We start from the raw sequence: 15,010 nt of genomic DNA, 5'->3' as shown, positions 1-15,010 counted from the left end.
ATATCAGAATCTATGAATATGTGGCTGTGTATGGGTGTTGTACATACATATCTCAGCAGATATTATGCCAGTTGGATTCTGATTCAGAGGGAAATTACAAAAGTATTATTTTAAATTTTTTTCTCAAAAGTAAAATTATTGGGCATAATTAAAAAGTCTTTATTAAATATCTGGCCTTTAGAGTTTCTTATTGCTTTCTTCTGGGACACTCAATATTCCTGGAATAATTACATATCTTTAAATACAAATAGGAAACATGCTCATTTTGAGATCTCAAGAACTTGACATTGAAAAACCTTTGACTATTCCAAACGTTGGCATTAATATTTACTATACCTGTTGTTAAACTAAATTTTACTATCAATGCTATAAACAGTAATTCAATTTTAGGGCGATGACAGGATGATCTGCTGAGCTTTGGCCATACAAAATGAGGGTTAAATAGCCTTCCTAGATAGTATCAGCATGTATGTAGTATTAATGATGCATCAGCTATGTGCCAGGGATATTAATCATCACAGAAATTCCATGAAGTTGGTGTTTGTAATGAAAGTTTGCAGTAACCATTATCTTAGCTGAGGATATATAGCACTTTCAACAGTTAAAGGAAAATGTAGGTTGTAGGCCTTTGTTAGGAGATGAATTGTGTCCCCCCAAAATCATATTTTGAAGTCCCAGTCCCAGTGCCTCAGAATGGAACCATGTTTGGAGATAAGGTCTTTAAGGAGTGATTAAGTTAAAATGAGCCCTTACAGGGTGAAGTCCTTCTCCCATATGACTGATATTCTTGTTAGAAGAGGAAGAGACATTAAGGGTACTCATGCACATAGAAAGGCCATGTAAAGATGAGAGAAAGTGGATATCTGCAAGCCAATGAAAGAGGCCTCAGAAGAAACCAAACCTACCAACGCCTTTATTTCGAACTTTTAAGGCTCCAGAAATGTTAGAAAAAGAATACATTCTGTTGTTTAAGCCACCAAATTTGTGGTATTTTTTTATGGCAGCCCTAGAAAACTAACAGTCTCCTTCCTCTTGGGTGGTATGATACAGATGGTGTGTTACAGTAAAAGTGGACCGCCAACCAAATAAATATCTTCCAGTAAGTAGGCCCAAGAACAATCATTCAATGTATGCTATAAGCTCAAGAATTATGGCATCTTTTAAGTTGTTACTGAAAGGGTCAAGAATGTAGATGAGACATGTAGATGTCTTATATATTGGCAGGATTCAATTAGATTTCTAATTGGAGACAATGAGAGGCTGTTGTTTGGAATCCTCAGCTTGAGGTCCTGTTACAGTGGGTTACTTAGGGCTGACTAGATTCTTACACCCTGTTCATGATAAGGTTAATGTGCTGTAGAGCATTTCTAGCCAATCTACACATCCTAAACACTACTTATGTTAGTTATGATTAAAATGTTTTAATATTAAATATCCATTGTACTAATTAGTGGTATGCAGCCATCTCTGTATATGAGTTTCTAATTTGAATCTTCCAAATGTAAACTCAGCACTTGATTTTGGCATTTAGATATTAATCACCAGTCCCTAGGGCATCAGGTGAAATCAACAAATCCATACATGTGTGTCGTACAGTTTATGAGGAAGTACTTTATTTTATTAATTTAATGTTTTCAGGGTTTTTTATTTGACTTAATTTCAAGACTTACAGAAAAGTTGCAAGAATAATGCAAAAAAATCTCCAGACACCCATACCTTTCAGACAAATTTATTCTTTCCTCTCTTTCTCAATCTGTATCCTCACCCCAAAATATTTTCTAGTGCATTTTCATAAAACATAACTTTGTATAACTGGGAAATTAACATTTACGAATGGTGATTCCTAATTTCATTATTCCTTCAACAGTTTTTAATTGGCTTTCTACTACAGGGGAAAGCTTTCTCTTCCTTTTTATACATCTGTATCACTGGGAACTCAGGAATTCTTACTTTATCCAATAAGTTATAATCTCTCACTGCCTTTATTTATTTTATGTTCAAATTATCCTGGAGTTGGCCCATGGAAGTCCCCTTCAAACTAGAGCTTGTGTCCTTTTAACATGTTTTCTTCATTCTTTGAACACTTTCTTTCTTTTTCACATAAGATATTCCAGGCTAATCTTATACATATGCACACATATATACTCATGCATTTCGAGATCTATATGCTAATGTATATTAACGTAAATTGCGAACAATGAAAAAGACCACTTGCCTGGAACAAACAAAGCAGGGTCCCTAACTGCTTTTCTAAGCCCTGATACTTTATAACCATTCCTTTCTCAGAGTGTTACCATTGTATCACCGTTACTCCTGCAGACAAGAAACTTTTGTTTCTTTTTCTCCTTTCTTTCTAAACCTTTTAAAATCATTTGTCCCATAGTCCCAATTATTAACAGGAGGAAAACTGGCCCACCTTTACTTGAGAGTGGTGCCAATTACTCCTCAAAAGTCATTTTGAAGTGGTTTGGGTGAAGTGGAGAAGTGGCCATTTACTCCCCAACTTCTGAATTCTTTTAATGCAACAAATGAAGGGTTGGGGGCAGGTCAGGGCGTGTCAGGGAGCAGGTCAGGGAGCAATTCCACTTAGTTTTCCAAAGTAAAACAAATTAAACATTCACATTCTGATATTTATTATCTGGTTTTACAGGTGATGAAATTGGGCAATTAATTTGTTCAAAGCCCTTCAACTAGTTAATAGTGGATCTTAGACTCAACTCAGTGCATTGATACTCTAGCCCAGCAATGCTCAACATGTGGTCAATTTAGGAGATTACCAAGACCTATTTAGAGGATCCACAAAGTTAAAATTGTTTTTACAATAAAACTATAATTTTTCTTTTACTGTTTTTTTGCCTTTTCACTCTTTCTTTCATTAAGTGTACGTTACTCAGGAATTTTACATGAAGAGTGATAGTGATGGTATCATTCTGATGACTAATGGAATGTGTACTGACATATTCCAAAATTTTCTAAGGTAGTAGTTTTTGGGAAAAAAATGTGAGTCTTCAGAAATTAACTCAGTTTTTTCTTATTTATATCAAGCTTTTGACATTTACCTTTGTTTCTATTAGCTATAAACCTTGTTTTTAATCCAATGTACCGGTAATTTGAAATCCAAAAATTAATTTTCTTTGGAAATACCGCCCTCTCTTACCTTCTTCTTTTTCTTTTTTTGAAACACAACAAGAAGTTTGTATACTTTCTGGTCTTATTTTACAATAATAAGTGTCTAAATTTCTCTGTTTTACTGTGTTGTGTGTAGCTCACACATGCAAATGCTCTTTGAGGTCCTCAGTCATTTTTAAGAATGTATAGGGGTCTGGAGACAATGTTGTGGGATGAATATTGTCAAGGAGAAAGAATACTTAAGGGGTAGCATCAGTGAGGTAAAAAGAAAGACTAGTTAAGCTAGTGAGTAGTCTACTTGTAATAGACTGTACAGCTGTGTGATAGACTTCCTTTTGCTTCAAGCTGCTAGTTTTCCCCTTCTAAAGCCAAGGGCAAGAAAGCACCCCACTGACAGGACTGCCATGCTAAGAGAAGGGGCCATCCAGGGCTCGGACAGCAGCTCAGTTAAGTCTTAAACTGTTTGGCCAAGAGGCAAATGAGTCTACCTTACTCCTGGTGTGTGATCAAATAGTGTTTATAAACCAAGAAACTCTGTAGGTGTTTCAGCAAAGCAGCAGCATTTACAAGATGGCAATGCAAGGTATTAGAAGGCAGCTAAAGGGCTAACTGCATGCGGTTTAAGTGTTTGATAATGAGCAGAGGAGAATAGGTTTTGCCTTTAGCCAAATTTTGTGCATCTTAGCTTTGGAACCAATATCCTGAAACATTGTCATGTCACAGCTGGCCTATTGTCTGGGAAAAGGAATGTCCAAGGATGCTCACTACATTTTAGACAGTAAAGAGCCAAACACTAACCCACTTTGATCATTTTGTCGAGTTAAGTATAAATAAAGCAGTGGATCAGATTAAATTTCCCTCCCCCTTGCCCTGAATAAGCTCTTTCCTTCCTTCCTTCCTTCCTTCCCTCCTTCCTTCCTTCCCTCCTTCCTTCCTTCCCTCCTTCCTTCCTTCCCTCCTTCCTTCTTTCCCTCCTTCCTTCCTTCCCTTCCTTCCTTCCTCCTTCCCTCCCTCCCTCCCTCCCTTCCACCCCTCCTTCCTTCATTCCCTTCCTTCCTTCCTCCTTCCCTCCCTCCCTCCCTTCCTCCCTCTCTTTCTTCCTTCCTTCCTTGTTCCTTCCTTCCTTGTTCCTTCCTTCCTTCCCTGTCACTCTTGTTTTATGTTAATGGAAAATGTGCTTGGCCAAATATCATTTTCCCAAGTGTCAATTATTTGCAAATACGTTCATATGTATACTAAAGACAAAGTGCAGTAGATCTAGTTTAGCTGGGTCTACTGGCACCATAATTGAAGCAAACATACCACCCTTGACCTTCCAACTTTCCAAACAGCAAAGAGCCTTTGTGTGTTCACTCCATTTTTTCCCATTCCCAAACACTCAATTAATAGACAAGTTCTCCTTATCTGCCCAATTCCAATACGCAACCTTGGCTTGCAAAACTGCTGATGACTTAGGGAACAAATAGCAGAGTGGCTGCAGGATTCTTGGGGAATATTGAATTCAAAATGGCCTCTGCTGCCAGCACATGATAGCTTGGACACAAAGCCAGTTAACACAGATCTGTCTCACCCACCCTTCCCCAGCCTCCAGACTTTTCTTGTGTCCTGGATTCTCTTTGCTTCCCAAAGTGACCTTATCTATATAATCATCTTCCTGGAAATATGGGGAAGGACAAAAATGTTTGACAACCACTGCTCTAGGCTGTGTCATTTTAGTGCACAATGTGAGAGGGAATGACAGATGCATAAGACAAAAGTTATCTGATGCTCATCCTTTGACCAAATGCCAGTGTATTTCTACCCAATTCATCTACATAAGTTTGTTTTATTTGTGAAACAGAAATATTTCAATTACTTTCCCTCCTCAGTATTTTTAGGGCCCTGCCTCTGGGGTTGGGATTGGAAAGGCATTTTTACATTTGGGGAGATTGACCCCAGAGGCTCTGCTAATTTCCCAGGAAACCAAAGTAAAAGATCTGTGACTGGTAATGACCCAACTTAGTTTTAAGTTTTTTTTCTATCCTTCTCCTTTTCAGGCATTGCTCAAGCCCCATCTAAGCCCAACCAAATCTTCTAGAAATCCTCCATGTGTAATCTGAGCTTGATATGTCAAACCATGGCTTATTCCAATTATCACATAACCAGTAGCTCATAAACATACAAGCCACAACTCTGGTCTCCTGACTGAATACCAATTAGGAGTGGAGTATTCTTAAAGGTCCCTGATACTAGTCATCAATGTCTTCTGTTAAAGGGCAGCAGGGGGATTGAAGACACTTATTTTTACCTTCGAATACCAACTTATGTTCATCACTGCTAGAAAAAGTCTTGTCATTTCTCATTTCTTGATGAACTTAAGGTATAGCAAATGAGCACACTATATCTGCTAAGGCAAGATCCTTAGTACTAGAAGTAGGAGTAGGAGTGATAGGACTAGTAGCGTTAAAAATAATTGATTCTTGGCAGACACTATGTAGAGACCACCAAAATCTATGTGCAGCCCCTCTCTCTTGCTACCACTTCCTTAGTTCAAAAAGCCAAGCGTCTTCCCCCTCCAGGCTCTCCTGCAACTAGGGGCTACCATATCATGTGCTTTTGGCCCTGGACATGTAAAGAAAGTTTTCCTGGGAGTTAGGAAGCCCCTGGAGAAGCTTTTCTTCCTTCATATTAAAGGACAATGAAGAAGGAGGCTCCTGTGAAATTATCGCCTTCCCACTGCCTTAAATGCCAACATCCTGACTAGAAGTGAAGTGGCTATATTGTGACTATCAGAGAAAAGTCAAGGAAATGACAGCAGAGTGAGACCTAACCTCGTCAAGCCAGAGAAATCATGCCGGCTACTACATTTCTCTGCATTCCTTATTATATAAGAAAAGCATACACCAATTCTCCTTAATCTGTTGACCAGCCTTAGCCTTAGATTTCATGTGTATGATATGGGGGATAAAGGTATGTATTTTGCAGAAGTCAATGTAGGAATTTTTCTTTTAAAGTCTGGGAATCATTTTGCAAACTAGAAAATTCTACACAACTGTAAGAAAGGCTTTGTTTGGAAACGGTAGTGGATTAGATCATTTGTACTTTTGTAGCCCTATTTGGAAGTACTAATTGTATATCTAATATTCACTATGTAATCCTCTAGTTTTTGAAAGTGCACCAAGGACCCAGCCCTTAAGGAGATTACAATTTATTAAATGATTCCTTCATGAAATCATTTAATTCCTGATGTACCACAGAGAATAAAACAAAAAAATTATTAAACTACTAAGTGCTAAATTACAAGATACTGAAGGCTAGTTCTACAGAAATTTGAATTAAAATATTCAATATACATTAAGTGCTTACTATGTTCCAAACAATATTCTAAGTATTTTACATGAAGCAAGTAGCTTAATCCTAGGACAAATCTGTGGATAAATATATTACCATTCACATTTTACTCTTGGTAAAATTGAGGTGCAATGGAGTTACATGTGTTGACAGAATTCACAGATGGTAAGTGGCAGAGCCAGGATTGAATCCAGGCACCCTGGCTTAGATCCACTGCTCTCTTGGGAACATCAAAATGTCAGATCATTTGTTTCTAACCCTTGCTCTGTTGCTTACCTAGTTCTATGAACTTGGGTGCAGCATTTAGAAAACTGCTTCCTTATCTTTTAAATCAGGATGCTACCCAATCCTATCCAATAGGATTGTTTTAATGATTTAATCAATAATGTGTACAAAGCACCTTGTGCTGTAACTGGCACAGAGTGGGGCATAATAAATGACCGCCATTATTAGCCTGGTGGGATAGACTGGATGCCTCAGCACCCCTTCCATCAGAGCAAGGAGGTGAGGCCATCTCTCCTGAATGTGTTATAGATCTGAAATTTCAGTTAGGTCCAGAAAATAGTCAAATGTTTTAGAAAAATTATGTCCAGGCAATTGCTTCACAATGGGGAAGATAAAAGTTATGATAACTTTATAAGGAGAAAACTTTTTCTGAAAAAAATTAAGATTTATCTTGGTGTGAGTGATTGTTAGGAAAACTAGTAAGGAAATTAGTCACAGTTCATATGGATGAAGGGGCTGAACAGCATAGGAATCATATTTCATTTATTAGACAAATATTTATTGAGTGTTCACCAAGTGCCATATTTGTTCTAGGTGTTGCTACCCCTGTTGCTTCCCATCCCCACAGCACAGCTTGTTAAAGGGCTAGCTTTATTTGTATTCAATCATTTCATGCCTCTAACTTATGCCTTCCTGTAGCTAATGGGAAGGGACACAGTTGGAGCTTCCTTCTCTTAATCCTCACATTGCGGGAGTTTCAATTATTTATATAGTAATCAATTCTGAACAGAGAACAACTCCACTTAAGAAATGAACAGGGTCTAAAATGGGCCTCATGGCAACAATTCACAGTGGTCAATTTAATAGAGGCAATTTTGGGTTCTCCACCTCCGTCTCCAGAAAGAAGAATGATGCTACATAATTAATTGGCATCTGTCTTATCTTAAATCTTCCTTCCTTTCTGTGTGAGCCCTTATATGACTCCCAGGCTTGTCCCTGACTTGGGAGGTAACTTTCTGAGCTAATCCTTTTGCCCATCCTGAAGCTTTCCTTCCCCTCTTTGCTTTTGCAGCCCAATCATACTCTTCACTTCAAGTTATATATTTAACTATTTGGTGGTGGTAGGGGGGCAGTCATTACTTCAGCCTGTTTAGAATTTTTTTCATCCTGAATCTGTCAACAAATGTATAACCATGCCTCACAACTTGATGTCACCCAGACAAATGTGATATACATTCCATTTTTTAGCAACATAGAAAGAGTTAATTGAAATATTGGGAGGTGGAAGCAAGAACACAGCTTGTTTGTTGGCATTGAAGATGTTGAAGATGACCTTCTCAATTGGAATCAATTTATTAACCAAAACATTATGGCTAATCAACAAGGAATGAGTTGATCTAACTATAGCATTATTTTCTACACACTTCTTTGTCTTCTCTCACAGAATATTACTAGAAATTTTGACAAATCTAGACTTAAACAAATCTATTCCTCTGACTTACATATTTAAGCAGCAACGCAACATTTGTTTACTAAGCACCTACCACATATCAGACCATTTTCAACAACACAAGATTAACAAAAAATATAAGGCCTAGTGGCACAGTAATGAGAAAGCAGTTTGGCAGGATTGATTTTGCAAGGTACAGGTCAAAAAGACTCTGCTGATAAAACATGATGTGGTAAAGAAGCTGGTCAAAACCCACCAAAATCAAGATGGCAACGAAAGTGATCTCTGGTCTTCCTCACTGCTTGTTATGTGCTAAGTATAATATCAGCATGCTAAAAGATACTACCACAGCACCATGGCCATGACAGTTTACAAATGTCATGGCAACATCTGGAAGTTAACCTCTATGGTCTGAAAGGTAGAGGAAACTTCAGTTCTGGAAATTACCAGCCCCTTTCCAGGGAAACTCATAAATAATCTACCCCTTGTTTAGCAAGTGATCAAGAAATAACCATAAAAATAGCCAACCAGCAGCCCTTGGGGCTGCTTTGACTGTGGAGTAGTTATTCTTTTATTCCTTTGCTTTCTTAATAAGCTTGCTTTCACTTCACTCTATAAACTTGCTCTTGAATTCCTTCCACACAAAGCCAAGAACTCACATGGCTTTCCATGCTGAAACCCAATTTTGGGGTTCACCCTGTGACACGAATGCCATCAAAAATGAAAATGTCTCATCTGTCATCACTTGTTTTTAGTGAACCTGTGTAAATGTCAATACTCAGATTTTTTTTTTCTTTTTATTCACAACTTGGGAATTTAGAAATTAATTCTGAAACTTCTAAGAAATTGATATGAAGATTACCAACATGTAGTTTCCAGAATTCCCATTTCCTATTTTTTGGTTCCCAGAACATTTTCTGATTTTCTATTTTCTTGTACGATTCCCATTCCCATTCTCATTTTCCACAAAGTTTTCCAAAGAATGGTGAAGGTTCCATAAACATTTTCTGCATTCTTTCTGTACCTTGCCATATAATTTGCCCAGGACCAGAGATGAGAGTCTTGACACACTGGCATGTGAGGTCAGAGCAACACTACAGAAATAGCACTTTCATATAATGCCACATCACTCCTGAAAGAAAGGTATTGCAAAGAGTTCCTATTACCCATTGTATGAGTCTCAAATTTCATTAGCTGACTTACAATACGTTCCAGAAATTGGTTTCTTCTTAACTATCCAAATTATCCCTACTCCTTGCCGACTCTCACTTCCCATTTAGTTAAGCTGGCTTTCATTGTCCATTTCTATTTCTATACTTCTCTTGCTATTTGCCCACATTGAAATGTAGCCAAATCCCTTTTTATCTCTATTTAAATACAAGCCCTTTACTTTAAATCCTTTCTTCTTCATGAAGTTATTACCTGTTATTAACATCCCACTTTGATTTATCCCTTCCAATACCAATTAGTCACTAACTAATTTTCTAATTGTTTCATCTATGTAAAGCTTATTTTCTTAGTTACATGGCAAATGCCTCAAAATGTCTTTGTTTTGCCCACTGTGTCTGTTAGGGGTTGAGTACATATTCTACTTGGTGTGATAGCTTAATTGATAATATAATCAAGTACCAGATATAAGCCATGAGATACAAAGAAACCTTAAGAAGACAGCTTATCAGGATTCTTTAATGTTTTATAGATAATTTCATGTAGATCACACCTTCAGATATTTGGCTGCAATTGTCGATTTTCACCCAGTATTTTGCATTGTAATTTGACAGAGTTATTTTCATAACCCATAATATCCCTTTTCTGTCCAGAAACATGAAAACTCCCCCTGGGACAAATGATGAACCTGTTAATTCTAAAAGTCATGTCTAAGCAAGAGGATAAGTTCTATAAGCCCCAAAAATTGTCTCAAAAATCAATGCATTTTTACAGTTTTTGAAATGCAAACAGGCAAAGATAATAGAAACATTTTTATTGCATATTCAGGATCACAGAGTTTATTGAAAAATACATATATATATATATATATTTAGTCTGGTATACTATGTTTGCTCAATGAGCTATTAATAGAGAAAAGAAACTGAGCCTCCACGAACCATGTAGATTGGAGTCTGACAGCTACAAACATATCTAGTTAAAATAATTCCAAGTTATCGAAATGTCTCACCATGGTGGGCATGAGATGACCTTGAATGAAAGCTCCCGGCTGTGCTCTGTGCACACTGCTATGTTATATAGGTGATGATAGGAGGGGAAAGGAAAAAGAAAACTGCCTTGTGCTGGTGGTCAAAAAAGAAATATCACTGAGTATCTTTAAAGATGGAATAATTTAAATTTAAATATTACAAACCCTTAAAGGCAGAAAAGTTCAGTGATAGTGATGACTGAACAAGAAACTCCCTGAGAGTATCTTAACCTTCAAATGCTTTTCCAATCTAGTCATGTTCTTTGCTAAACTTTCCTTTACAGCCTTGTGTGAATTCTTCTTCTTTTTTTTTTTTTTTTTTTTTTTTGAGACAGAGTCTCGCTCTGTCGCCCAGGCTGGAGTACAGTGGTGCAATCTCGGCTCACTGCAAGCTCCGCCTCCCGGGTTCAAGCCATTCTCCTGCCACAGCCTCCTGAATAGCTGGGACTACTGGTGCCCACCACCACGCCCGGCTAATTTTTTGTATTTTTAGTAGAGACGGGGTTTCACCACGTTAGCCAGGATGGTGTTAATTTCCTGACCTCGTGATCCGCCGGCCTTGGCCTCCCAAATTGCTGAGATTACAGGCGTGAGCCACCGCACCCGGACCAGCCTTGTGTGAATTCTTAGGAATTTACATGTCACATCCTTAGATAAAAACATAGACATTTGTTTTTCCTTGTCAATTGATGAGCAGTGGATTGATGTTCAAATATTCATGATCTCCTGTTTCATGATCTCCTTAACAAATTATTTTGGTGTCGCTTTTTTTGTTGTTGTTTTTAGGTTGGCTGGTTAGTCGGTTGTTCAAAAACAAAATTAGATTGACCTTTTATGATGAACATTGATGAACTTATTTCAAATCTTATTTAAAAATCTTGTTTCCATTTAATATTGTCCATCCTATTTCCTTTCCCAATCCTTGCCCCTTTCCAGTATATCTTAAAACATTCTCTCTAAGTAGGTGTTTAATCTTGTCTTCCAACAATGGAAATTCACAGTTTGTTTCTTATATTCTGTATATATTAGACTCAATATCAGATGAATGCTCCAAACAACAAAACCCAGAGGGACAGCCTAACGTTCATTTTCATGGCAAATAAGATTTTCTAATGAATTCACATAAAAAAGAAAACAATAGAGTGGGGCCAGATGGCATAAGATGGAAATTTATGCCTTATCTAGAAACTAGAGATAGGTAAGCATAGACAGGAGGTCCTGAAGCCACCCACACCTACAGACATAGATTAGACTTAAGGCTGTGTGTGTGTGTGTGTGTGTGTGTGTGTGTGTGTGTGTGTGTGTGTGTGTACGTCTGAGATGAGAATAGGGTCAGGGATTTGGGAAATAATATATTTTGAATACCTACAAAGCGCCAACTGTCACAGTTAAATACTCAATCTCCATGTTCATAGCTACTAAATCTATCTACCTCTAGAAAGATTACATCTTAGTTGATCCAGTTTAATACTAATACCAGTAAAAAGGTTTTGTCTATGTGCCAACTAACCACCTCCAATTTTTTTTTCCTTTCTTTACTCCAAGAACAAGTCTTCTGGGCATCAGAGAAACTCAAAACCACTGTGTGAGGTAAGTATTACATTTCCCCCCATTACAAATGAGGAAAGAAAAACTTAGAGGTTGATCAATTTTCCCAAGCTGAAAATGGCTAGTGAGTAGTGAAGCCAAATGTTTAATCAGTTTCTGTGGGACTAAAAAAACCACTATTTCTAGTATTTTTTTAACTGTAAAGGCAAGTATTCAAAGAAGATTTTTTAAAAGCAGAAGGAAAAGGAAAACAATCAGGGTGGGGGAACAAAAAAACCCCTCAAGCACCAATCTCTATTGAGGGAACAAAAATGATAAGGCAGAGAGAGGGTGTTCAGAAGGTAAGAACAATTGGTTAGAGAAATTTGTCTTAAAGTCTTGAGAAATACCTATTTCTGATTCCTATAAAAGCATAGTAAAATAGATCAATTTTTTATTTCAACAAAATTCATGCAGATAGCTAATTTTAATAGAAGAATAAGAATATGCTATTTTTCTTAAAAAGAGTAGCCAGGGATCAGTCTTAATGATTTAATTCACTTGGCCATTATAGGAAGAGTCTGTATTCATACATAGATCTGGTTTGCCTCCATACAGTTTTTTATAAATCACATTTAACTCCAGCAAATTGCTACTATTTTGTATCTTCAGAATGAGTTGGACTGGTTTTCACACTTTTCAACTACTTCTTTTAGTATCAGAAATTCACTCCAACAGCCATAAGATATGTTACCTGCATTTTTGCCCATCTGGAGCCCTGCAAGATAAACTTCAGTTTTAGCATTTCAAGTCTTTAAGAAGTTTTAAACGATATTTCAAGGATTTTGTTATTATCCAGATACAGCCATGAAAAGTACTTTTAATCACAGTCCACAAACCTCTATGAAGGCTATTGTGTTCGAGATATAAAGCTCAAAAAATTAGCCTCCAAAATGAATTAAACCTACCTGGAGTCCAGAAATCCTCCCTGGGGTTGATATCAAGCCCTTTACTCAGGAAATGTTGCCTTTTGTTGATGTGGGGTTGGGAAATCTGAGGAATTCTCCTCCCTAGATTTAATGCCCCCAGATTTAAAATGTAAGTATTAGAAGCTGAGCCCTCGAACATCTCCCTTCATTTCTTGACATCTTTATGACAATGTATGGTGCAGTACCTCACTTTGCTGCAATTACCGAACAGACGGCACTGTAGGCAATGTAAGTTGCTCTTAAGTGCAGCAATCCATTCTGAAGAGATGTACAAACATAAACTCTCAATCATGGCAGGCTTCTATGAAACCTGAGCATTATCTGTGAATTTTCTCCTTTTTAATCATTCTGTTAGCTCACCTCTAGAACCCAGTGGCCTAATTTACTAATTAATAACTATTATTACTTAGTAGAATTGAAAACTGAAATTACTGCCTGCCTTAAACATAATAAAAATTGGCAATCCATTCAGAGTTTTTTGAGGGGATGCTTCATTCATTGCACAGTCCTGGCAGCTGGGTAGATGTCATTGTCTGCTTGCTACATGGGCCTTGTTTCCAGATGGGATGGAAGAGAGGCAGGAGATTGTCTCTCTGACTTGTTCAGACTAGAAAAAGAAACAGAATATAGTACAATCTATACCTGTGGAATCTTAATAGACTATTGTTTCAGCCAATAATTGCATTATTTAGAAACATCCCATTGTCTTCTTTATTTGTGCTTGGTCCTCCTAACTCCAGCTTCTCTTTGTACCTTAGCAGGTGATTGCTAAGCTCAAGTGACTCTTCTTTTTTTCAGTTGCTAAGTGAAAAGTCCTTAAAGAGAAATCGATGATGTAAGTTTCTTGTCTCTTTATATAATCAAATCAGTTAGTAACCAGGTTAAATCTAGGATAAATTAAGCAGAAATTACTACCATAATCATTTTTTTCTTGTATAGTTTCCTTTACAGTTGGCCAAGTCACATCTGCTTAAAGCAACAGAAATGAATTTATCCTTCAAACTTTTCTCCTTTTCCCTACTGCCATTCCAATTACAAGTGCCAATATTATGTCTCATTGCCTTAATCTAGGTTATCTTTCAATTGTCATTACAATATGTTTGGATGTTAATAATACATATTTGTTTATTCTAAAGTCTAGTGTGTATCTTATGTCAGGTACCAGCAGAGAAGCTGAGATTACAGACATAAAAAAGTCCTATTCCTGCTCTCAAAAAGCTAATTTTCTAGCATGAAAGTCAAAGTATGAAGCCATATGAGGAGCACTATGAAAAAAATATCCTCAAGATGCAGAAGGAACTCCAAAAAAACAAAATATCCTTAAGCATTGTTTAAATTTTATCAAGTTCTGAAAGGTTAGCACTACAACAAGGAAAAATTATTGTCCCTCAAATTTTAAAATCTGGTCCAGATTCTCATAAGACCAATCATGAAGGCAGCTCTGCACATGCAGGCAGCAAGTCATCCTAAGAAAGCATATGCAACAGTTAGGAAAAGATGCCTAAATATACACCATGCTTAGTGTGGGTCACTGCTCAGTCAGCTTAGCAGATAACTGGCAAAAATATCATTGTGTCTTTAAGGTGGTCTCAATTATTTGCTTCACACATCTGGACTAAAGAATCAGCTTTTCATGGCTGAGAGTTTGTTAAGAGTTTTTTTCCCCACTTCTTAGATGTATAATTGTGTCTCTTAAGGTGAATCTCATTCAAATAATCAATCCATCAGCTATTGAGAGCCCATAATTTCTTAGCACCCTGTGATATGGTTTGGCTCTGTGTCCCCACCGAAATCTCATCTCAAATTGTAATCCCCACATGTCAGGGGAGGAACCTAGTGGGAGGTGATTGGATCATGGGGCCGGTTTCCCCAATGCTGTTCTTGTGATGGTGATTAGATCTCATGAGTTCTAATGGTTTTATAAGTGGCAGTTTCCACTCCTCTCTCTTGCCTGCTGCCGTATAAGATGTGCCTGCTTTCCCTTCTGCCATGATTGTAAGTTTACTGAGGCCTCCCTAGCCATGCAGAACTGTGAGTCAATTAAACCTCTTTCCTTTATAAATTATCCAGTCTCAAGAATTTTTTATAGCAGTGTGAGAACAGATTAATACACCCTGGGAGGCCATCTACAGTGAATACTGCTCTATTCTCCAATCTCACTTTGAT

General features: G+C 37.3%; 1 long non-coding RNA gene across 1 annotated transcript in view; it reads right to left on the bottom strand.

Moving 5' to 3' along the window:
• The window catches only part of LINC01793 (long intergenic non-protein coding RNA 1793), a 61,693-nt gene extending 48,803 nt beyond the window's left edge, over window positions 1-12,890 (bottom strand). The window contains exon 1 of the long non-coding RNA NR_110219.1: window positions 12,824-12,890. This is a non-coding gene — a long non-coding RNA (long intergenic non-protein coding RNA 1793). The remainder of the gene's footprint in view (window positions 1-12,823) is intronic.
• Window positions 12,891-15,010: the final 2,120 nt, after the last annotated feature.

The sequence above is a fragment of the Homo sapiens genome, chromosome 2 (assembly GCF_000001405.40).
Source record: "Homo sapiens chromosome 2, GRCh38.p14 Primary Assembly".
Taxonomy (NCBI): Eukaryota; Metazoa; Chordata; class Mammalia; order Primates; family Hominidae; genus Homo; species Homo sapiens.
Note: the sequence above shows the minus strand (reverse complement) of the source record. Positions and strands in the feature narration are given on the sequence as shown.